A 26,337-nucleotide genomic window follows, 5' to 3' on the forward strand; every position below is an offset into this window, starting at 1 on the left:
GAGGCAAAGAATTTGGGGACAATCTGGTAGAAAATAGCTTGAAATTGATAGGTTGAAAAAGCTTGAGCTCAGGTGAATTCTAGGCCCAGCTCTACCACTCTTAGGCAAACTCCTTACTTTCTCTGTGCCTATCTTCATCTGTAAAATAAGAGGGTGGGCTAGAATTCCTGTATTCTCAGTTATACCCTGTAGTGAATCTGTGTATAGTACAATGAGGTTCAAAACTTAATATCATATACTACAAAGCTATAGCAACAAAAACAGCATGTTACTGGCATGAAAGCAGACACATAGACCAATGAAACAGTAAGAGAAGCCAGAAATATATCCACACGTTTACAGTCAACTGATTTTTAACAAAAGTGCCAAAGATATACAATGGGAAAATGACAGTCTCTTCAATAAATGGTGTTGGGAAATCTGGATATCCACATGCAGAAGAATGAAATTAGACCCTTATCTTTTACCATATGCAAAAATTAACCCAAAATGGATTAAAGACTTAAATTTAAAATCCAAAACTATAAAACTGCTAGAAGGAAACATAGGAGAAAACCTTCATGGCATCTGTCGGAGCAATGATTTTTTTGGATATGACCTCAAAACCATAGGCACAAAAGCAAAAATAGACAAATGGGATTACATCAAACTAAAAAGTTTATGCATGGTGAAGGAAGTAATCTACAGAGTAAAGAGACAACCTATAGAATGGGAGAAAATATTTGAAAACTATACATATAACAAGGGCTTAATATCTAAAATATATAAGGAACTCAAACAACTCAATAGCAAGAAAACAAATAACCCAATCTTAAAAATGGTTAAAGGACCTTAATATACTCAAAAGAAGACATTAATCAAAAGAAGACATACAAACGGCCAATAGGTATATGAAAAAAATGCTCAATATAACTAATTATCAAAGAACTGCAAAGCAAAACAACGAGATATCACCTCACACCTGTTAGAATGACTTATCAAAAAGACAAAATGTAAGTGTTGGTGAACACATGGAGAAAAGGGAACCCTAACACACTGTTGGTGGGGGATGTAAATTACTACAACCATTACAGAAAACAGTATGGAGTTTTATCAAAAAACTAAAAATAGAACTACTATCTCATTTAGCTATCCCACTACAGGGAATAGATCCAAAAGAAATAAAATTCATATGTCAAAATGATATCTTTTTTATATATATACTTTAAGTTCTTAGGTACATTTGCACAATGTGCAGGTTTGCTATGTAGGTATACATGTGCCATGTTGGTTTGCCACACCCATCAACTCATCATTTACATTAGGTATTTCTCCTAATGTTATCCCTCCCCCATCCCCCATCCCCCAACAGGCCCCAGTGTGTGATGTTCCCCACCCTGTGTCCATCTGTTCTCGTTGTTCAACTCCCAACTATCAGTGAGAACATGTGGTGTTTGGTTTTCTGTCCTTCGGATAGTTTGCTTAGAATGATGATTTTCAGCTTCATCCATGTCCCTGCAAAGGACATGAACTCATCTTTTCTACGGCTGCATAGTATTCCATGGTATATACGTGCCACATTTTCTTTATCCAGTCTATCATTGATGGACATTTGGGTTGGTTCCAAGTCTTTGCTATTGTGAATACTGTCGCAATAAACATACGTGTGCATGAGTGTTTATAGTAGCAAGATTTATAATCCTTTGGGTATATACCCAGTAACGGAATTACTGGGTCAAATGCTATTTCTAGTTCTAGATCCTTGATGAATCACCACACTGTCTTCCACAATGGTTGAACTAATTTACACTCCCATCAAAAGTGTAAAAGCATTCCTATTTCTCCACATCTTCTCCAGCATCTGTTGTTTCCTGACTTTTTAATGATCGCCATTCTAACTGGTGTGAGATAGTATCATATTGTGGTTTTGATTTGCATTTCTCTGATGACCAATGATGATAAGCATTTTTTCATATGTCTGTTGGCTGCATAAATGTCTTCTTTTGAGAAGGGTCTGTTCATATCCTTTGCCCACTTTTTGATGGAGTTATTTTTTTCTTGTAAATCTGTTTAAGTTCTTTGTAGATTCTGGATATTATCCCTTTGTCAGATGGGTAGATTGCAAAAATTTTCTCCCATTCTGTTGGTTGCCTGTTCACTCTGATAATAGTTTCTTTTCCTGTGCAGAAGCTCTTTGGTTTAATTAGATCCCATTTGTCAATTTTGGCTTTTGTTGCCATTGCTTTTGGTGTTTCAGTCATGAAGTCTTTGCCCATGCCTATGTCATGAATTGTATTGCCTAGGTTTTCTTCTAAGGTTTTTATGGTCTTAGATCTGACATTTAACTCTTTAATCCACCTTGAGTTAATTTTTGTATACAGTGTGAGGAAGGGATCCAGTTTCAGCTTTCTACATATGGCTAGCCAGTTTTCCCGGCACCATTTATTAAATAAGGAATCCTTTCCCCATTTCTTGTTTTTATCAGGTTTGTCAAAGATCAGATGGTTGTAGATGTGTGGTGTTATTTCGGAGGCCTCTGTTCTGTTCCATTGGTCTATATATCTGTTTTGGTACCAGTACCATGATGTTTTGGTTACTGTAGCCTTGTAGTATAGTTTGAGGTCAGGTAGTGTGATGCCTCCAACTTTATTCTTTTTGCTTAGGATTGTCTTTGCTAAGCGGGCTCTTTTCTTGTTCCATATGAACTTTAAAGTAGTTTTTTCCAATTCTGTGAAGAAAGTCAGTGGTAGCTTCATGGGGATAGCATTGAATCTATAAATTACCTTGGGCAGTATGACCATTTTCATGATATTGATTCTTCCCATCCATGAGCATGGAATGTTCTTCCATCTGTTTGTGTCCTCTTTTATTTTGTTGAGCAGTGGCTTATAGTTAGAGGTCCTTCACTTTCCTTGTAAGTTGGATTCCTAGGTATTTTACTCTGTTTGTAGTAATTGTGAATGCCAGTTCACTCATGATTTGGCTCTGTTTGTCTGTTATTGGTGTCTGGGAATGCTTGTGATGTTTTGCACATTGATTTTGTATCCTGAGACTTTGCTGAAGTGGCTTATCAGCTTAAGGAGATTTTGGGTTGAGAAGATGGGGTTTTCTAAAGATACAATCATGTTCCTTCTCTTGTCTGATTGCCTTAGCCAGAACTTCTAATACTATGTTGAATAGGAGTGGTGGGAGAGGGTATCCTTGCCTTGCGCTGGTTTTCAAAGGGAATGTTTCCAGTTTTTGCCCATTCAGTATGATATTGGCTGTGGGTTTGTCATAAATAGCTCTTATTATTTTGAGATATGTTCCATCAATACCTAGTTTATTGAGAGTTTTTAGCATGAAGCGCTGTTGAATTTTGTCAAAGGCGTTTTCTGCATCTACTGAGATAATTATGTGGTTTTTGTTGTTGGTCTTGTTTATGTGATGGATTACGTTTATTGATTTGCATATGTTGAACCAGCCTTGCATCCCAGGGATGAAGCCCACTTGATCATGGTAGATAAGATTTTTGATGGGCTGCTGGATTTGGTTTGCCAGTATTTTATTGAGGATTTTCGCATCGAAGTTCATCAGGGATATTGGCCCAAAATTCTCTTTTTTGTTGTGCCTCTACCAGGCTTTGGTATCAGGATGATGCTAAATGAGTTAGGGAGGATTCCCTCTTTTTCTGTTGATTGGAATAGTTTCAGAAGGAATGGTACCAGCTCCTCCTTGTACCTCTGGTTGAATTCGGCTGTGAATCCATCTGGTCCTGGACTTTTTTTGGTCGGTAGGCCATTATTTATTGCCTCAATTTCAGTACCTGTTACTGGTCTATTCAGAGATTCAACTTCTTCCTGGTTTAGTCTTGGGAGGGAGTATGTGTCCAGGAATTTATCCATTTCTTCTAGATTTTCTAGTTTGTGTAGAGGTGTTTATAGTATCCTCTGATGGTAGTTTGTATTTCTGTGGGATCGGTGGTGATATCCCCTTTATCATTTTTTATTGTGTCTCTTTGATTCTTCTCTCTTTTCTTCTTTATTAGTCTTGCTGGTGGTCTGTTTTGTTGATCTTTTCCAAAAACCAGCTCCTGGATTCATTGATTTTTTGAAGGGTTTTTTTGTCTCTATCTCCTTCACTTCTGCTCTGATCTTAGTTATTTCTTGCCTTCTGCTAGCTTTTGAATTTGTTTGCTCTTGCTTCTCTAGTTCTTTTAATTGTGATGTTAGGCTGTCAATTTTAGATCTTTCCTGCTTTCTCTTGTCATTTAGTGCTATAAATTTCCCTCTACACACTGCTTTAAATGTGTCCCAGAGATTCTGGTTCATTGTGCCTTTGTTCTCATTGGTTTCAAAGAATATCTTTATCTCTGCCTTCATTTCTTTATTCACCCAGTAGTCACTCAGGAGCAGGTTGTTCAGTTTCCATGTAGTTGTGCAGTTTTGAGTGAGTTTCTTAATCCTGAGTTCTAATTTGATTGCACTGTGCTCTGAGAGACAGTTTGTTGTGATTTCTGTTCTTTTACATTTGCTGAGGAGTGCTTTACTACCAATTATGTGGTCAATTTTAGAATAAATGTGATGTGGTGCTGAGAAGAATGTATATTCTGTTGATTTGGGGTTTAGAGTTCTGTAGATGTCTATTAGGTCTACCTGGTCTAGAGCTGAGTTCAAGTCCTGGATATCCTTGTTAACCTTCTGTCTCACTGATCTGTCTAATATTGACAGTGTGGTGTTAAAGTCTCCCATTATTATTGCATGGGAGACTAAGTCTCTTTGTAGGTCTCTAAGGACTTGCTTTATGAATCTGGGTGCTCCTGTATTAGGTGCATATATATTTGGGATATTTAGCTCTTCTTGATGAATTGATCCCTTTACCATTATGTAGTGGTCTTCTTTGTCTCTCTTGATCTTTTTTGGTTTACAGTCTGTTTTATCAGAGACTAGGATTGCAACCTCTGTTTTTTTTTGTTTGTTTGTTTGTTTGTTTTTGCTTTCCATTTGCTTGGTAGATCTTCCTCCATCCCTTTATTTTGAGCCTATGTGCGTCTTTGCATGTGAGATAGGTCTCCTGAATACAGCACACCAATGGGTCTTGACTCTATCCAATTTGCCAGTCTGTGTCTTTTAATTGGGGCATTTAGCCCATTTACATTTAAGGTTAATATTGTTATGTTTGAATTTGATCCTGTCATTATGATGCCAGCTGGTTATTTTGTCCATTAATTGATGCAGTTTCTTCATAGCATCGATGGTCTTTACAATTTGGCATGTTTTTGCAGTGGCTGGTACTGGTTGCTCTTTTCCATGTTAGTGCTTCATTCAGGAGCTTTTGTAAAGCATGCCTGGTGGTGACAGAATCTCTCAGCATTTGCTTGTCTGTAGAGGATTTTATTTCTCCTTCACTTATGAAGCTTGGTTTAGCTGGATATGAGATTCTGGGTTGAAAATTTTTTTCTTTAAGAATGTTGAATATTGGCCCCCACTCTCTTCTGGCCTGTAGGGTTTCTGCTGAGAGATCTGCTGTTAGTCTGATGGGCTTCCCTTTGTGGGCAATCCGACCTTTCTCTCTGTCTGCCCTTAACATTTTTTCCTTCATTTCAACCTTGGTGATTCTGACAATTATGTGTCTTGGGGTTGCTCTTCTCAAAGAGTATCTTTGTGGTGTTCTATGTATTTCCTGAATTTGAATGTTGGCCTGCCTTGCTAGGTTAGGGAAGTTCTGGAAAATATCCTGAAGAGTGTTTTTTAACTTGGTTCCATTCTCCCCGTCACTTTCCAGTACACCAATCAAACGTATATTTGGTCTTTTCACATAGTCCCATATTTTTTGGAGGCTTTGTTCATTTATTTTCACTCTTTTTTCTCTAATCTTGTCTTCTTGCTTTTTTTCATTAATGTAATCTTCAATCACTGATATCCTTTCTTCCACCAAATCAGCTATTGAAGCTTGTGCATGCATCCCAAAGTTCTCATGCTGTGGTTTTCAGCTCCATCAGGTTATTTAAGGTCTTCTCTACACTGTTTATTCTAGTTAGCCATTTATCTAACCATTTTTCGATGTTTTTAGCTTCCTTGCGATGGGTTAGAATAGGCTCCTTTAGCTCGGAGAACTTTGTTATTACTGACTTTCTGAAGTCTACTTCTGTCAACTCGTCAAAGTCATTCTCCATCCAGTTTTGTTCCCTTGCTGGCAAGGAGCGTGATTCTTTGGAGGAGAAGAGGTGCTCTGTTTTTTTGGAATTTTCAGCTTTTCTGCTCTGGTTTCTCCCCATCTTTGTGGTTTTATCTACCTTTGGTCTTTGATGTTGGTGACCTACAGATGGGGTTTTGATGTGGATGTCCTTTTTGTTGATGTTGATGCTATTCTTTTCTGTTTGTTAGTTTTCCTTCTAACTGTCAGACCCTTCAGCTGCAGTCTGCTGGAGTTTGCTGGAGGTCCACTCCAGACGCTGTTTGCTTGGGTATCACCAGTGGGGACTCCAGAACGGCAAATATTGCTGCTTGATCCTTCTCTGGAAGCTTCATCCCAGAGGGGCACCCGACTGTTTGAGGTGTCTGTTGGCCCCTACTGGGAGGTATTTCCCAGTCAGGCTACATGGGGATCAGGGACCCACTTGAGGAAGCAGTCTGTTTGTTCTCGGAGCTCAAATGCTGTGCTGAGAGAACCACTGCTCTCTTCAGTGCTGTCAGACAGGGACGTTTAAGTCTGCAGAAGCTGTCTGCTTCCTTTTGTTCTACTATGTCCTGCCCCCAGAGGTGGAATCTAGAGAGGCAGTAGGCCTTGCTAAGCTGTGGTGGGTCCACCCAGTTCATGCTTCCCAGCCTCTTTGTTTACACTGTGAGCTACTCAAGCCTCAGCAATAGTGGATGCCCCACCCTCCCAACAAGCTGCAGAGTCACAGGTCGATCTGAGACTGCTGCACTAGCAGTAAGCAAGCCTCCATGGGCATGAGAACTGCCAAGCCAGGCACGGGAGGGTATCTCCTGGTCTGCTGGTTGCTAAGACTGTGGGAAAAGTGCAGTATTTGGTCAGGAGTGTACCGTTTCACCAGGTACAGTCTGTCACGGCTTCTCTTGGCTATGAAAGGGAAATCCCCTGACCCTTGTGCTTCCCAGGTGAGGCAATGCCCCTCCCTACTTCATCTTGCCCTCTGTGGGCTGCAACCACTATCCAACCAGTTCCAATGAGATGAACCAGGTACCTCAGTTGGAAATGCAGAAATCATCCATCTTCTGCATCAGTCTCACTGGGAGCTGCAGACCAGAGCTGTTCCTATTTGGCCATCTTGGAAGTGACCTGTCAAAATGATACCTAAATTCCCATGTTTATTGCAGCATTATTCACAATAGCCAAGATATGAAATCAACCTAAGTATTAATCAACAGATGAATGGATAAAGAAAATATGATATATACACACAAAAGAATACTATTTAGCCAGAAAAGAAGGAAATTCTGGCATTTATGACAACATGAATGAACATGGAGGACATTATGTTAAGTGAAATAAGCCAGCACAGAGAGACAAATACTGCATTGTCTCACTCATATGTGGAACCTAAAAAAAGTTGATCTTGTAGAAGTAGAGAGTGGAATGGTGGGCTGGGGTGGTTGGAGGGGAGGGTGGGTTTGGGAGATGTTAGTTAAAGGATACAAAATTACAGTTAGATAGGAGGAATAAGTTCAATAGACCTATTGTATAGTATGGTGACTATAGTTAATAACAATATATTGTATTCTTAAAAACACAAAAAAGTGAGTGTTTTCACCAGAAAAACGATAGCTATGTGAAGTAGTACATTTATTAATTAGATAGATTTAACCATTCCACAATGTATATATACTTCAAAACATCATGTTCTACATAACGGATACATACAATTTTATCTGTCAGTTAAAAAAATAAAAACGTACAAAAAATTTAATTAAAAAATAGAGTATCAACTATTTAAATACCAAAGTCTCTGTTTCCCTCAAATCTAGGGTTTCAGGGAAAGATAGAGAGTGATTTAATTCTATGAATGGAACTTTTTGCTTTCTCCTTAGCCCCAAGTTTCTATCAAGTATCTCAGTCAGTTTCTGTAGTCAGAGACACAGGTAAGTGAGGATAAATGACTCTCAGACCTGGACGCAATAGAAAACTCATCTCAGTTGAACCTCCCTAATGGGGTGGGGGCAGGGGACAGAGTGGGTCCAAGTGGTGAAAGGTCATCTAAAATACTTCACTGCTTAAGGGACTTTGTCCAGGACAGTTTGACCTCCAGTGAGAGAGACCTCAGAGCATCAGGGCAGGACGAAGCTAAGGAAGAAGTCCTTAGGTGCACAGTGACACCCAGTAATCAGTGTCCAGGACAATTGTCTTGCTGGCTTTCCAACTTTGTGGTTAAGGGCTTCAGATCATAGCCAATGATGAAACAATCCTATCACTTTAACCAGGAACCCAATTCCCTCTCCACAAATCTGAAAGACAAACCAACACACTCAGGCAGCCAGACATTTTAGTCATCAGACATCTTTGGTTTCAAAATGGATATTTTTTATTTTTGAAAGTTTCAAACATAAAGAAGAGTGGAGAAAACTGCATCATGAACACTCATATACTCATCATTTTAAATTTAAAATTGTTAATATTTTGCCATATTAATTCCTTTCAGTTTTCTTCTGCTAAAGCATTTTAGAGTAAATAACAGATCTTACATGTTGTCTTACAATATCATACCCCTATGTATTTTATTATGCATCTTGAAAAGGAAGTTTTTGTGCTATTTATTTATTGCTAATAAAATTTATTTATTTCTAATAAAATTCATAATAGTCTCCTAATATCACTTAATACCTAGTCTATATTCAAATTTTCCAGTGATCTCCCCAAAATGAGCTCTATAATGTGTTTATTCAAACCAATGTCCAATGAAGTACCATACATTACATTTGATTAATGTGCCTCTTAAGTCTCTTTTAATTAAGAACAGACAACCCCTCCCTTTATTATCTTGCTGGAGAAACAATTAAACTGCCTTGTAGAACAGACACATTTGGGATTTATCAATTTCTTTATGGCTTTATTTCATTTTCTCCCTATATCCTCTGCATTTTCTGTAAGCTGAAGTTAGTTCTAAAGGTGTAATTAGATTCTGGGTAAACATCCTAGGCAAGAGTACCTCATAGATGATGCTGTATAAGTCACCATACATAACATCCAGAGACAGCACATGTCATCTGCATTTGCCACCATTAGGGATGTTGATTTGATGACTAAGAGGCTGATTATCAGATTCCTCCAATATAAAGTTACATTTTTCCCTTGGAATCAGCTCTAGGTCTGAGTGGGACTATTTTGTGACAATCCAGTTCTCTGCCGCTTTCTGTTTTTTAGCAGACAGTCTTCAGTAAGGAAGAGCTTTCCCTTAAAAACTGGGACTATGGGGTTGTCCTGATACACAGTCCCTACTGGAAAGACAGACTATGTGTTTGATTCTTTTTCTTTAGCTACCAATATCTAGAGTAAGAAGTTGCTCTAGCAGTGACCCCCATGTTAGTAAGCAAGGTTTTGCTTTGTTTTGGATTTTTCTCAGTAAAGTTAAAGACAGGTTGATTTTTACATGTTTTATGTGTTTCCATCATTTATAGTCCTTTTTCTTTTTGATCCTCAACTGTCCCAACTTTGGCTACTGGAAGCCTTTCCAGACTGGCTCCTGTGTCCTTTTGACATGACCTCATTAGTCTTTGAGTGCTTACTTGCTTTCTGCAAAACATGTCATTCCAGGCTTACCTTATTCATTCTCTGCCCTAGATCTGCAATCAGCCGTCTCCTCAAAGTGTCCTGCAGCTGAGGTTGCCAGCCATTTCAGATACATAATTCATCTTGTCAACAGATAACACAAACTTATCATACTGATAAATACAGTACAATACAGTAAACATATTCTCTCTTTTTTATGATTTTCATAATAACGTTTTCTTTTTTCTAGCTTACTTTATTGTAAGGATACAGTATGTAATACATATAACAGGAAAAGTATTTGTTAATTGACTTTTGATGTTATTGGTAAGGCTTCTGGTCAACACTAGATACTAGAAGTTAAGTTTTGGGAGAGTGAAAAGTTATACACAGATTTTCAACTATGTAGGGGTTGGTGCCCCTAACTCCCATGTTGTTCAAGGCCTAACTGTAACAGCAAATCAAAGCCAGTGGGGTGTGTGCGTGTGTATGTGTTGTGTGTGTGTGCATGTATTAGCAGTCCTTGCTTTGCACCGTAGCACGGGACCCTAAAAGTGACTGTGCATGCTGAAACCCTGTAAAGTAATTTTAATTATCAATGGAGAAATCACAATTGTTCTGTGACCTTTAAAATTTTTTTGTGAAGACATTAAAAACTATCTTACTGTTGGTTATGAATATATAGGAAAATGGTGAGGGAAAACAGTAAAACTAATATTTATTTAGTACACTGTAATTTAAAACCTTAGTAATATTGAGAATTGTCTTATTTCTTTGAAAAAACCACTTATCAAGCACAGTTGGAATAGTGCTTGTCTTCTTCACGTCACATAATTTAGGATATAGAGTGAGATTCTGTTTAATGCGTTGGTGAAGGTAATGAAGTGGCCTCATTGACTGGGGTGATACCTGAGGTTCATTGTCTCATGCCAAGAAAATCAAGGATGTGAACACACAAGGAGCAAGATTAAAATCAGAAGTTTAATAGGCAAAAGAGAGGAGCTCTATGAAGCAGAGAGGGGTCCCAAAAAAATGGGTTGCTGGATCCGTGGCAAAATGCAGGGGGGTTTTATAGAAGCCCGGTGAGGAGGTGGTGCCTGATTTACATTGGGCAAAAAAGATTGGTTGGACTAGATGTGCCATTTATGTAAGGTGTGAAAAACTGGTTAAGGCTAGGTGTGCTGTTTGCATAGGGCACGAAAAGCTGGCTGTCCCCACCCTAATCTTTTATTATGCAATTGGATCCTATGCCTGCTGGTGCCATGTTGCCTGTTTCTTTATTGTACATGTGGTAACAAACAAAGGGAAGATGGAGCATCCATGTTGGATATGTCTGTCCTCCAGGCAGCCCTTTTCTATTGGCACAGCTTCCAGCATTCACCCATGCAAGCTTCCACCTTGCTTATCTATATTTGCAGCTCAATTTTTCAGACTGCTCTTTGTTAAAAAAGAAACGATTTGGGGGGATGCTTTTTGTTTAAAAGGAAGCCCTGCTGAGGACTCTTTTACCTTCACTATCTGCCTAAATAATTCCTTTCTATCTCCTCTATCATATTTCCCCTCTCAGGAGTGGTAACCCTAACTGCTGTTAGGGGGTGTTGGATGACGACTCTTTCTGGCTACTTCCTGCTGAAAAGGGGTGTTGTGTGGGGAAAAACAGCTAGGGCTCCTCCTGGGGTCAATCTAAGCATCCTCAGAAGAAAGGTGTGTCCATTCATGGTTCCATCTGCAGCACCATTTGGAGTTTAATAACTTCTAAGTGAGAAGAGATAAATTTTACAAGAAGATTTAGAATATAGGGCTCGAATATGAGTATTAAGATTACCATTATTAGTGGGGGTAGTATAGGCCATAACCATGACAATAGGGTTTGACAGCTGTTAGCCATTCCGATTGGTTGTAATACTAGTTTGCCTCCACCAGATGTCGCTGTACTTTACCAGAAGCGTTAATATAAAAGCAATGTTTTTCTTAGGATAAGTGACATTGGATTGGGTGGCTAGAGTAACTTTAGTGTTAATTTTGGCTAAATCTTTCCTGTAATTATTATATAATTACTTGTTACAAACATGATAATTAGGCAGAATATTACAGCAATTAAAATTTTGCAACCAGAATTCCACATTGCAGGTGCCACAGTGTATAGTCCTACTGCAAATAGTAGAGTGAGTATAGCAGTTCCCACAAGAGTGGCATAATACATAATTTCCATCTAAAATTTTACTGACTAAGATATAGAATTTCCCTTGGGGGGTTTATGAATTTACAAATTTAATCCCATGGATAATCAAAATCTTCCTGCAAGTATGCACCAAAAAGAAGTTCTAATATCTGACAGTGAATTTTGAGAGGAAATGTAGAAATGACCAGAAGTATCTGATAAGTTAGGGGTGAGACTTAGTAGGATGAGTAACCCTTACTCATTTACTTATCTTTTCTGATTTTCAGCTTAAGATCTCCTATTTCTTTGCATTGATATCAGGGACATTCCTCTAGGCTGTCAGCAGTTGCTCCCTCAGCCTTCCAGGCTTTGACTTGAATGTGATGTATCCAGGAGTCAATTTTTGTAACTTTTACCGCCAAGGGGGTTGAAAGAAGAAAAGTGTAGGGCTCTTCCCAGCTTGGGCTTAGGGAAGGAGAGAGAGAAGGGAGAGCTTTCAGCAATACAAAATCTCCTGGGTTAAATAAAGGTGGCCTTGTTTCTTGGGGTTGGGCTTCTGCTAGTTGTGTTAATTCCTGTTGAAAGGGAGCCAGAGAGGTTACATGCTTAACCAATTCAGAGGTTTCCTGGTCTAATAAAAAATCACTGGTAAGGAAAGGCCATCCATACAGCATCTCGAAAGGGCTTAGACCTAACTTTGAAGGGGTATTTCCTACCCACAATAAAGCCATGGGAAGACGAGTGACCCAAGGAAGGTGAGTTTATTGGGACAGTTTTCTGAGGTGTCTTTTGATAATATCATTTGTCTTCTCTACCTTTCCTGAGGACTGGGATCTCCAAGCACAATGGAGATGATACTGTATGCCTAGTGCCTTTGAGATCCCCTGTGTGACGGCTGCCCTAAATGAGGGGCCATTGCCACTTTGGAGGTATTTAGGTAGACCAAAGTGGGGAGTTATTTCATTAACTAACACTTTTATTCTCAGACGACTTTTCTGTATAGCATGGAAATGCTTCTACCCAGTTAGTGAAAGTATCTACCCATACCAGGAGGTATTGAATGTCCTTCATCTTTGGCATGTGGGTAAAATCTATCTGTCAGTCTTCCCCTGGATAGCTTCCCATCCTTTGGATTTAAGGAGGAAGGAGCTGCCTGTTGAGGTGATTATTTTTAAGACAGACTTCACAAGCATTAACATATTTGACTATTCTTAATAAGTTCTCCCCTGTAAACAATCTCTGGGCACACTGATAAGTTTTATCCTTTCCCAAGTGAAAAGCTTGGTAGAGGAGAGGGTCTTAAGGACTTTCTATTGACTACAGGCTGGCAAGTGGAGTTTGCCATCCTCTGACTGTAGCTACCCTGAGGGCTGGAAAGTGTACCCTCAAGAAATGGCCATTCTATTTCTGGAGGGGAGTACTGGGGCTTAATTTCTCTTACAGAGCCTTCCCAGATTAGAGAGGTTTTGAGTGTGTTAAGAACCTGAGGCTTAATTGCTGCTGACTTGGCTGCCTGATCAGCTAACTTTTTTCCTTCAGCTATTTCATCTGTTCCCCCTGATGTCCCTTACAATGCATCACTGCTGTCTCTTGTGGAAGGAAAACAGAGGATAATAACCTGTTAATTTCCTGATGGTATTTTTTTTTTTTTTTTTTTTTTTTTTTTTTTTTGAGACGGAGTCTCGTTCTGTCGCCCAGGCGGGAGTGCTGTGGCGCGATCTCCACTCACTGCAAGCTCCGCCTTCCGGGTTCACGCCATTCTCCTGCCTCAGCCTCCCGAGTAGCTGGGACTACAGGCGCCCGCCACTGCGCCCGGCTAATTTTTTGTATTTTTAGTAGAGACGGGGTTTCACCGTGGTCTCGATCCCCTGACCTCGTGATCCGCCCGCCTCGGCCTCCCAAAGTGCTAGGATTACAGGCGTGAGCCACCGCGCCCGGCCCCTGATGGTATTTTATAGAGAGCCCATTAGCTGTAAAGAAGTGCCTTTCCTTCCAGATGGCAGCATGAGCATGAAGGACTAAGAAAGCATACTTGGAGTCAGTGCCAATGTTAGTTACTTTTCCCTTGCTTAATTTGAGTGCTCTTGTAAGAGCTATCAGTTCAGTTAGTTGAGTGCTTGTGCCTGGAGAGATGGGTGCAGTTTCAATAACATCATTCAGAGTGACTACGACATATCCTGCCTAACGGACTCCTTGCTCCACACAGGAACTTCCATCCGTAAAGAGGGTCCAGTCTGGATTTTCTAGGGGAGTTTTAATTTGGTGGCTTCTGGTACGAGTAAGGTCACCATGGCAACCCTGCTCAGAGGCATGCTGGCCATTCTTTAGCCACCAAATCAAGTTCCTTACTCAGGTAGGCCACTGGCTGTTGAGCTGGTCCTTGAGCTTGAGTTAAAACTTCCAGGGTCATTTACTTCCTTTCTGATACATAAAGATTGAAGGCCCTCCCTACGGAAAGGCTGAAGGCTGATGCCTTAAGAAAGGCTTGTTTTAGATGATTAAAGGCCTTTTGAGATTCAGGTTCCCAAGTTAGGAAATGAGTTTTTGCCACTTGGGTCTCCTTTATGAGATGATATAAGGGGTGAGCTAGCTCACTGTACACAGGTATCCATAGTCTGCAAAATCCTATATGCCCAAACATCCTTTTAGTTGCTTGAAGGTGTTAGGGAGGGGGAAGAAGGAAATGGGCTTAATCCTTTCTTCCCCTAATGTTCTGGTCCCTTCAGACAACACTAAACCCAGGTACTTTACTGAGGTTTGGCAAAGCTGGGTCTTGGACTTTGAAACCTTATATCTTCTGTCAGCTAAGAAATTAAGAAGAGCTTCTGTGTCTTCCTGAGAAGCTTCCTAAGTTGGGACACAGAGCAGAAGGTCATCTACATATTGCAAGATTCTGACCTCAGGATACGAAAACTCAGAAAGGTCCTTTGATGGTGCCTTTTCAAACAAGTGAGGACTGTGTCAAAATCCCAGAGGTAGCACCATCCATGTTAACTGGGCAGTTTGGCCAGAGAGATCTTCAAAGGAAAACAGGTATTGAGAGTCAGGAGGTAATAGTCTACAGAAAAAGGTAACTTTTAGACCTAGGACTGTGAACTATTTAGTTCCCTCAGGTAATTGAGTCAGCAAGGTATAAGGATTAGGGGCCACTGGGTAAATTGGGACTATGGTCTCATTAATGAGGCAGAGGTACTGAACTAGTCTCCATTCTCCATTGGGGTTTTGCACTCCTAATACTGGAGTATTTGAAAGGGCTGTTACAGGGTTTGAAGAGGCCCTGCATTTTCAAGTTATTAATAATGGCTTCTAGCCCTTTTCTAGCCTCTGGCTTTAGAGGATATTTTCTCTGGTTAGGAAAAGAAGTGGGATCCTTAAGAAGGATCTGGACTGGCCTAGCAGTTATAGTTCAACCTATTCTTCCTTGAGTTGCCCACACTTCTGGATTAATATTAGCTTCCACCAGGGAGAGACAAAGAGTCTGTCCCAGGGCTATAAGGATGCCAACCCCATGCAAGCTAAAATGTCTCTACCTAATAAAGGAGTGAGACTTTCAGGCATAATTAAGAAGTCATGTGTAAATAGTAGCCTCCCCCCACCCCCCCCGCAACTAAAACTAAGAGGTTGAGGAAAATTTTGGGTTAGAACCTTTCCTGAGATGCCCATCACAGTCATGCTATGGGAAGAGGGGAGGCCTGGATTAGAGAGGAAAAGAGAGAGGCTGACTCCAATGTCCAGAAGGAGGTCTACTCTTCTTCCTTCAATTTCCAGAATCACCTGGGGCTCCTGTGCAATAATGGCAGTTTGAGCTGCTGGTGCCAGGGTTTTGAGCCCCGGAACCTATCAGTCCTTTTGGACCATCTGTGAGACTGGCTCCTAACCCAGTGACTTCCATCTCCAAGGGCACTCCAATCTCCAGTGGTCCCTGCCACAGGCTGAACAGGGTTGAGGTGGCTTCTTCTTGCTCCCTGGGCACTCCTTCTTAAAGTGCCCTGACTTGCCACACTGGTAGCAACTAGCAGATGCACCTCAGGGATCCTGGATCTTGCAAGCCTGCAAAGCAGCTACTAGAGCCTTTGTCCTTCTTTTGTGTTTCTTCTCTTTCTCCTTGGCCTCCTCCTTAACCCTGTTATAAAAGACCGAGGTGGCCATCCTCAGGAGGTTTTCCAAGGTGCTGTCTGGTCCTAAAGCCTGCTTCTGCAGTTTCCTTCTAATATTGGGAGATGCCTGTGTAATAAATTGTACTTTGGTGTTATCTGTCCCTCATCTGAATCAGGGGATAAGGATATGTGTTTTATTAGCGCCTCTCTCAGCCTGCCCATAAAGGCCAAGTGATTCTCATCTGGCTTCCGGTCTATCATGGACAATTTAGATTAATTAAGAGATTTGGCCCTAGTTCCTTGTAGGCCCTCCAATATGCACATTAAAAAGTGTTTTCTCTCCCATTCATCTGTGGAGTCACTGGGGTCTCAATCAGGGTTGTCAAGAGTTACTGCCTCTCTTCCTATTGGGAATAATGATTCTCCTATTTCTTCATTTTCCCTATTTTCTCTTTTCCTTTTTGTCCCACTATAGGAGACATATTGCTCACCTCTGAATTTCTCTGCTGCCTGCAGAGCTGCCTGTTTTTTAGCTGTGGTTAGGGTTTGGCAGCAGCATAACATCCCATCATGAGAGTCAAACATCTGAGTTAAATTTTGGAAAGCGTCTATATACCTATTGGGATCATCAGAAAATCTGCATAAGTCTCCCTTTATTTGCCTAAGGTCCTGCAATGAGAAGGGAACTTGAACCCTAGTGGCAACACCTTCATTGGACATTTCCTGTAGGGGTAAGAGTGAAGCTGGAGGAATGAAGAGTTTTGACGATGGTGGAGCTGGAGGAGCTGATGGTGTAATTGGAGGGGGCTCCAAATAAAGAGGACAAGAAGGTCTGGGACACCCAATAGCTGCCTCAGATAATTCCCCCAGAAGTTGCTTTTCTAGTTTTGGGGAATCACTCCCTTTGGGCCTGCATGATATGACTGCTAAGAGCTGAGTCAATTGCATAATGCCTTCAAAGGTCTAGCAAGAAGGACATGCCCTTGTGTAAAGCAAAGTTTCAGGGTTAAAGTAGTCTCACTGTTTCAGAAGGTACTCCAGAGGTGTGCAGACTAAAGATGGCTAGAAAGATACAGGAGACAAGGTGTCCCTCATTCCCGTCCTTCCTTTAGAATGGTCCAGGGTGGAAGGGAAGACAGTGGGGATGTCCCCCCAACTGTTTTCCCTCCTTGGTTCTCTGAGCCCTGGCACACATTAAAAGTGCCACCTGTGGACGCAAGTGTGACCCTCAGCCATGGATCCAGAGGAACTAAGATATGGAGTTAGTCACGCTTACCCATGCAGCTCTAGTCCCTCTGTTGGTGATTTCCCTTTGACTTCCTACACTTGTGTGATCTGCATGGCTCCCCAGTAGATGGATCTCAGGAAACACTACACAACAACCAGATTTGGACAAGGCCCCTTAATGGAGGAAGTCTACTGGGTTAAGCTCTACATTCTGCTATTATGGGCTGGACTGGAGTATTTATTCTTATGCAGTGGTTCTGGTTAACTTCCATACATATCCTCTTACTATTGAAGTACCATTTTAATTGAAGGCAGAAGAGGTGCCTTAAAAGAATGTAGGGACTGAGTGGTGGTTTTCCTGCTGATGGGACAGTATTGGGGCTCAAATTTGGTTTTGGAGGACATTTTTCTCCTCATTGTTGAGTTTTCCCATTCACAGATGGGGTATAAAGCCTGTTCTCTAGTAGAGGGGTGCAAAAAGGGAGGAGAATTGGGAAACTGAGTGTTTTGGCAAAGGGATGACAATGTGCCTCATGGAGAGGATTCCTATTCCACTAGGTGGCATTGTAGGACTTGAAATACCACGTGTTTTCAGGAGAAAGGATAGAGAGAGACGTTCATGGGTGAAGGGGAGGAAACCCTCGGTTCCTAGAAAATCACAAAAGCAGCAATCCCTTGAGCTATATTCCCAGTTACTGCAGTATTTCCTGATCTTGCCTAACAGGATTATTTCCCTGAACCATAGAAATTCCCACAGCATTGCACACAGAGAGTGGATAGGAGACATGGCAGTCTGTGGATAGAAGACATCAAGATGCAGACACACAAGGAGTGAGGTTAAGAGCAGAAGTTTAATAGGCATAAGTAAGAGAAAAGCTCTATGAAGCAGAGAGGAGTCCCAAAAAATGGGTCACCAGATTCGTGGCTAAATGCAGGGGGTTTTATAGATGTGTGGTGAGGAGGCAGTGTCTAATTTACATAGGGCACAAAAAATTGGTTGGATTAGGTGTGCCATTTGCATAAGGTGTGAAAAACTGGCTAGGGCTAGGTGTGCCATTTGCATAAGGCACAAAAAGCTGGCTTCCCCCACCCTAATCTTTTATTATGCAGATGGGTCTTCTGCCTGGCCAGCACCATGTTGCCTGCTTTTTTACTGCACGTGTGGTAACAAAAAAAAAAGGGAAGATGGAACCTCCATGTTGGATATGTCTGGCCTCCAGGTAGCCCTTTTCTACTGGCACATATTCCAGCATAAACCTGTGCAAACTTCTAGCTTGCTTATCTATGTTTGCAGCTCAATTTTTAAGGCTGATCTTTGTTAGAAAAGAAATGATTTGGGAGGATGCTTTTTGTTAAAAAGAGAAGCCCTGCTGAGGACTCTTTTACCTTCACTACCTGCCCAAATAATTTCTTTCTATCTCCTGTATCAGTAAGACTTACATCTAGAGTCTTGCAAACAACAGCAGTGTCAACATCTCCACAATCATTTCTTCTACAATTCTATTTATGTTCAATTTAAATTCAATTTCCAGTGTTATCACCTCTTTTTTCTTTTCTGGACTTTCATCTTTGTTGGTCAATTCCATCTTTCAATTTCCCATTTTTTAAAATATCACATGGATACATAACTGAGAGTCAAGGAAGTGATAAAACTATAGAGAGCTTTGCTCTCTGTGTCTGAACTACATAACAGAAGCTCAGTGAACAATTATAAGCTTACTTTGAAAAAAGTGATGTGATTAGTCACTGATCATGATGTGCATCTGTTATTTATGTAGTTATTTGTGGACTGAATTGCTAGCAGCAAAGTTTATACTTTATGCAATTACTCACAGCTAATATACCATGATAACAGAAATTTAGCTAGTGGAAATTCATGCATATTGGAACCATGCAAAGTGAGGAGTTCCTGTATATTATAATTGTACTGCTTCTATATTCCTGATAAAAAGATGAGGACGATAAAAACTCCAAAAGGGGTGCCATGCTATACTGACATTCACCCTCTCTGGTGATGCTTGGTTCTTTCAGAGAACACTTTGAAGCAGTATTCTTGGAGCCAAGGAACCAGGAGCTCAGGCCCAGGAGGAGGTTTTCAAATGCTGCGTGGCCAGTACAAACCCAAGGCTCATGTGATTAATGTGTAAATCCTCCCTCATAGACACTCATCATTGGCATCAAAGGTCACTTTTGGAGACTCATCATGACTAAGGACTTATCTCTCTCCATCATAGCTCTCCTGCATATTATGAAAAGCAGCTAACCTGAGAGACACAGGGAGAGAGGTTTACCTTTGTATATTTGATTACTGTTAAGCCCTGGAACCAGACTTGAGATGCCCCAATGCCTTCTTCCACAGTGCCAACATGCACAACTAAGACAGTCAAGTTTCCTTAGATTCTGCAGGCCAAATTAGTCTTCTTAACCACATTCTCCAGGTTGCCAACAAAGGCAACATTAAGCCACTGGAAGTCTGGTAACATAGTGACACAAGGGAACCCAGTTTTTAATACAACATGTTCCATTCATCATCGAATGGATTGGTTGTGACTTCTGGTTTTCATTGATGTCTTATTAAAACATATTTTTCCCTTCACTTAGCTGATGTTTTAAGGGGTTGCTTTTGGAAGTCTAATTTGTACTATTCCAGGGTTAAAATGTCCCACTGGAAAAACCGTCTTTAGCTTAATTATGAAGATTAACAGGAAAGTATTTCTAATCCCTAATGTTTGCTTCTGAGCCAGCTTTTCATAAACACACCTATATCTCATATCAATAAATTAATAAGGCAATCCCATCCACTTATCACTACCATCACCAAATCTGCCTTCACTTACCACTTACAGGGATAACTACGGATCCCTCTTTCATTATCCCAAAGCTAGTGGAAAGGCTTTGGGATAATGAATAAGAGGACAAATAAGAGGACTAATATGACTGTCCTCTGAGCAGAGGGGTCCCTCACAGAGCACAGTGGGGTCTGAGACAAGCGCTAGGCTCTTCCAGATACTACTAGGAAAAGAAAGCACAAGTAGGTTCCAACCACTTTAAAGGTGTTTTGTTGCAAGTGTGGTTTTGTTTATTTTTTTCATCTAACCATGTGGAAATCTCTTGATCCTGCCCTTCAAACCTAGATTGACAATTTCATATGACTTAGAGCAATAGATTAGATATAGGAAAGGGTGGTATGTAACACAACTAGACGGTCTCAGATTAAACCCTCCAATCGGGGCATCCCCCAAGAAGAAGCATGTGTGAGACTGACTGAAATGGAACCCATCCCATTTCAACACATGCCCAACCTGGCCTGATGCTTTACACTCAGAGACAAGAATCTGAAAGCCCTGAGGTCACTTCATCTGCTATTTGGGAGACTTTCTATCTGTATAAGTAAGAGAGGCAATGTAAGAAAGACTGAACAGCAGCAAGACAGAGAAATAGAAAGTCTCAGGCTCTACTCCTCCCCACAGAAAGTTCAACTAGCAACTGTCCAGACAAGACAGCTTTTTAAAAACTCCAACACTTGGAAACAAGACTAAGACAACCATGTTGTCTGCAGAACTGGATGAAAACCAAATTTGAAGAGAAAGAAGAATAGTCTCATTTCAACTGCACTGCCCCTCATCCTCACCCAAGTCAGCACAATGCCAGGTGGAGTGGATTCCCTGGACCCACAGCTTATACAGGAGGAAAACAGAACCAGAGGCAATCGTTCAGTTTCTCTCTAGCATTCTGAGATACTTCCAGGAGTCCCACTCTGGTCTCACCTCATGGAAAACACTAGGGGTAACAGCATGACTAGACTTCCTAGGGTCAGGTAGAAATAAAGAAAGAGACATAGATCACAGTGACCTCTGTATAGATTTTAATGTTATTTCTATATTTCTGCCAACTGTGGTGCTCAATTTTTTTTTTTTTTTTTTTTGAGACAGAGTCTCACTCTGTCGCCCAGGCTGGAGTGCAGTGGCGCAATCTTGGCTCACTGCAAGCTCCACCTCCCAGGTTCACGCCATTCTCCTGCCTCAGCCTCCCGAGTAGCTGGGACTACAGGCACCCGCCACCACGCCCGGCTAATTTTTTGTATTTTTAGTAGAGACGGGGTTTCACCGTGTTAGCCAGGATGGTCTTGATCTCCTGACCTCATGATCCACCAGCCTCGGCCTCCCAAAGTGCTGGGATTACAGGCGTGAGCCACCGCACCCGGCCTGTGGTGCTCAGTTGAAGATACCAGCCAACTTCATAGCCCACCCACAAAGCTGAGCTGGTCATTTTCAGAAGCATGGTGGGAAGTTCAACCTAGCTTGAGTTCATAGATGACTAGTCTCAATGCTCAGTTTCCAAACCCACCCCAACAATTCTGCCCAGGCAGGGAGATGCTCACCTTCATCCATTTCAAAGAAATATAGGAGTTAGATCTGTTTGACCCAGTAAGTCAAGCAACAGCTTCATTCAGTCAAAAAGCTAATGCAACAAGCCTGCCAGGCAGGAAGACTCACCTCTGTGCTTTTTGGAGAAGCATAGAGAATAGACCTGCTTGACCTGAGAGGTCAAATAGCAGGTCAACTCAGCCAAAAGTCCACCCCACAGCTCCAAACTAACAGGGAGACAATCCACAATTATGCATTTATAGGAGCATAGACTGGTTCAACTTATCCCTAGCAGCAATTACACATAACCTCAGAGCCCTGCCTGCAGCACTGTCCAAATACAGATCCCAAATAGTGGAATCACTCAGCCAGGGAATACATCCTGTAGCTGGCCTGACCAGAGGCCATCACAGTACCCAGTCAGCAGCTCCACTTGATTTCAGAACCCAGCCAGTGATCTTCCAGACAGCAGAGCCCAGGCAGAAGCCCCACCCAACATCAGAGCAAAAGCAGTGACTCAGCCAATTAAAGAACTCACAAACAGTTTTGACTTCTAGAGGTCATTACCAGCTAGTCCTCCCAGAATCACAAGCTAAACAGTGAAGGCCCATCCCTGCCGAAGAACACCTGTAAAGGCTAAAAAGGGGGCTGTCTGCTCAAATAAGCAGAGGACACAAGGATTAAAAATAATCAGGGAATCATGGCACTTTCATGATTAAACTAATAAGGCTCTAATAATGGACCCTAAAGAAATAGAGATCTATGAAATTACTGACAAAAAATTCAGAACAATTTTCTCAAATAATTTAGTGAACTACAAGAATATACAGATAGAAAATTAAATGAAATTTGGAAAACAATACACAAAGTGAGATAAAGAAATAGAAACAATAGAAAAGCACAAAATAGAAATTCTAGATATGAAAATATAATGACTGAACTAAAAACTTCAATAGAAAGAGTCAACTGCAGACTCAATCCAGCAGAAGAAAGAATCAGTGTGCTCAAAGACAGAATATTTGACATTATCCAGGCAGAGAAGCAAAAAAAGTAAATGAATGAAGAAAGTACAGGAATTTTGAAACACCACTGAGAGATTCAGTGTTCATGTAACAGGAGTTCCAAATGGCAAAGAAAGAAAAAAGGGCCCAGAAAGCATATTTGAAGAAATAATGACTGAAATTTTCCCTAATCTGGGGATAGATGGCAACATCCAGGTACACCAAGTGCAGAGGTCTCCAGTCAAATTCAAATCAAAGAGGAGTTCACCAAGACACACAATAATCAAATTATCAGAAACCAAAGATAAAGAAAAAATTCTGAGAGCAGCAACAGATAAGAAATATATCACATCTAAAGAAGTGCCAATACAACTAGTAGTCTCCTCAGCAGAAATCCTGCAGATCAAGAGAGAGTGGGATGATATACTCAAACTGCTGAGGGCAAAATCTGCCAAACCAGAATAACTGACAGAGCAAAGCTTTTTTTTTCCCAAATGAGGAAGAAATAAAACCTTCCCAAGCAAAATCTAAGAGAGTTTATCACCATTAGACCCGCCTTGCAGAGATTGCTGAGGGGAGTTCTTTAAGCTGAAAAAAAAGACCTCTAATTGATAACATAAAACACACAAAAGCACAAAATTCAACGATATAAGTAAAACAGAGCCCTATTTAGAACACTCTAGGATTGTAATAATGGTGATGAAAACAATTTTATTCCTAGTATAAGGGCTAAAAGACAAAACAATTAATAATAACTATAGCTAAAATAAATTGTCAAGGAATCACATTACAAAATGATGTTAAGTTCTGATATCAAAAACATAAATTGGGGGCTAAAACTGTAGATTTGTTATATACAATTACAGTTAAGCTATGATTGGCTTGAAACAGATTATAAGATGTTCTATATAAGTTTCATAGTAACCAAAAGACAGAAACATTTAGAAGCACAAAACAAACATACAAAAGAATGAAAGCATACCACTACGGAAAATCATCAAATCACAAAGGAAGACAGCAAAAGAGAAAGAATAAAATAAAGTATCTACAAAACAACCAGAAAACAATTAACAAAATTGCAGCAGTAAGTCCTTACCTATCAATAATTACCTTGGATATAAATGAATTAAATTCTCCAACAAAAAGATATAGAGTGACTGAATGAATATAAAGAAAAAAGCAAAAGACCCAATTATACACTGCCTAGTAAGAAACTTATCTCACTTTTAAAGACACATACAGACTGAAAGTGAAGAGATGAAAAAAGATAGTCCATGCAAATGAAAACCAAAAGAGAGCAGGGGTAGCTCTACTTACGTTTGACAAATACGTTTTAAGTCAAAAGCTGTAAAAAGACACAAAGAAGGCCATTATATAATGACAAAGGGGTCAATTTTTCAAGAGGATGTGACAATTATAAATATATATGCACCCATCATCAGAACTCCTAAATACATAACACAAATATTAAAGGATCTTAAGGGAGAGATAGATTGTAATACAATAATATTTGGGTACTTCAATAACCTACTTTCAACAATGACTAGATTATTCAGACAAAAAATTAAAAAGGAGACTGGGCACGGTGGCTCATGCCTGTAATCCCAGCACTTTAGGAGGCCAAGGCTGGTGGATCACCTGAGGTCAGGAGTGGCCAGGAGTTCCAGATCAGCCTGACCAACATGGTGAAACCTCACCTCCACTAAAACTATAAAATTAGCCGGGCATGGTGGCGCATGCCAGTAATCCCAGCTACTTGGGAGGCTGAGGCAAGAGAATTGCTTGAACCCATGAGGCAGAGGTTGCAGTGAGCTGGGATCATGCCATTGCACTCCAGCCTGGGCAACATGAATGAAACTCCCTCTCAAAAAAAAAAAATTAGTAAGGAAACATCAGACTTGAACTGCACTTTAGACCACATGGGCCTAACAGACATATACAGAACATTACAGCCACAGAATACACATTCTTCTCAAGTGCACATTCTGTAAGATATAGCACATGTTACAGCACAAAACATGCCTTCGAAAATTTAAGAAGATTGAAACAATATCAAGTATATTTTCCAACCACGATAAGTGTAACTAGAAATCATCAACAGGAGGAATTTTAGAAAGTTTGCAAATACATGGAAATTAAACAACATACTCCCGAATAGCCCATGGATCAATGAAGAAATTAAAATGAAAATCTAAAAATATCTGAGACAAATGAAAATAAAAACACAACATACCAAAATTTATGGAATACAACAAAAGCTGTTCTAATAGGAGAGTTTATAGCAATAAATACCTACATCAAGAAGAAGAAAAAATCTCAAACAACATTACTCCTCAAGGAACTAGAAAAATAAGAACAAACTAAGCAGAAAGTTGGCAGAAGAAAGAAAATGATGCAGATTTGAGCAGAAATACATAAGATAGGAATACAGGAAAAAATCAACAAACTGAGAGTTGGATTTTGAAAAGATAAAAACCACAAATCTGTAAGTAGACTATGAAAAACAAAGAGTCAAATATATAAAATCAGAAATGAAAGAGAAGACATTATAACTGATATCACAGAAATGCAAAGAATCATAAGAGACTATGTAAATAATTCTATGCCAACAAATTGGATAATCTACAGAAATGGATAAATTCCTAGACACATACAAGCTACCAAGACTGAATCATGAAGAAATAGAAAATGCAACAAGCCCAGTGAGTATGAATATTGAATCACTAATAAAAAGTCTCCCATTAAAGAAAAGTCAAGGACCTGATGGCTTCACTGCTGAACTCTGCTAGACATTTCAAGACTTAATACCAATTCTTCTCAAAATCTTACAAAAAAATCAAAGAAGAAGAAATACTTCCAATCTCTTTTTATGAAGCCAGCATTACCTTGATACCAAAGCCAGACAAGGATACTACAAGAATAGAAAATTATGGGTGAATATCCCTGATGAACACAGATGCAAAAATTCCCAACAAAATACTAGGAAAAAGAATTCAATGACACACTAAAAGGATCATCTACCATTATCAAGTGGAATTTACCTCTGGGATGCAAGGATGGTTCAACATATGCAAATCAATAAATGTGATACATCACATTAACAGAATGAAGGACAAAAACCATATGATCATATCATTAGATACAGAAAAAGCATTTGACAAATTTTGGCATCCTTTCATGATAAACTCTCATCCACAGTAGGTGTAGAAGGAATATACCTCAACACATTAAAGGCCATATATGGCAAGCCCACAGCAAACATTATACTCAATAGTGACAACTTGAAAGTCTTTCCTCTAAGATCTGGAGCAAGGATGATGAAATGGTTTGTATCTCTGTCCTCACCCAAATCTCATGTTGAATTGTAATCCCCAGTATTGGAGGTGGGGCCTGGTAGGAGGTGATTGGATCATGGAGGCAAATTTCTCATGAATGGTTTAGCTCTATCCCCTTGGTGCTGTTCTCATGATACAGAGTAAGTTTCTGACATATCTGATTGCTTAAAAGTGTGTAGCACCTGCCTAATCTCTCTTGCTCCTGCTCCAGCCATGTGACATGCCAGCACCCCCTTTGCCTTCTGCCATGATTGTAAGTATCCTGAGGCCTCCCCAGAAGCTGACCAGATGCCAGCAACTTGTTTCTTGTATAACCTGCAAAACTGCAAGCCAATTAAACCTCTTTTCTTTATCAAGTACCCAGTCTCAAGTATTTCTTTATAGCAATGCAAGAACAGGCTGATACAAGATGCCCATTCTCACCACTTCTATTCAATATAGTATTGAAAGTCCTTGCCAGAGCAA

The 26,337-nt window shown here is 40.3% G+C and overlaps 1 long non-coding RNA gene across 5 annotated transcripts in view; it reads right to left on the reverse strand.

Moving 5' to 3' along the window:
- Positions 1-26,337, reverse strand: part of LOC107985862 (uncharacterized) — a 63,638-nt gene that overhangs the window by 11,262 nt on the left and 26,039 nt on the right. For all 5 annotated transcript variants that reach the window (XR_001739388.1, XR_001739387.1, XR_001739389.1 and 2 more), the window contains exon 3: positions 9,736-9,827. This is a non-coding gene — a long non-coding RNA (uncharacterized LOC107985862). The remainder of the gene's footprint in view (positions 1-9,735; positions 9,828-26,337) is intronic.

Source organism: Homo sapiens, chromosome 2 (assembly GCF_000001405.40).
Source record: "Homo sapiens chromosome 2, GRCh38.p14 Primary Assembly".
Taxonomy (NCBI): Eukaryota; Metazoa; Chordata; class Mammalia; order Primates; family Hominidae; genus Homo; species Homo sapiens.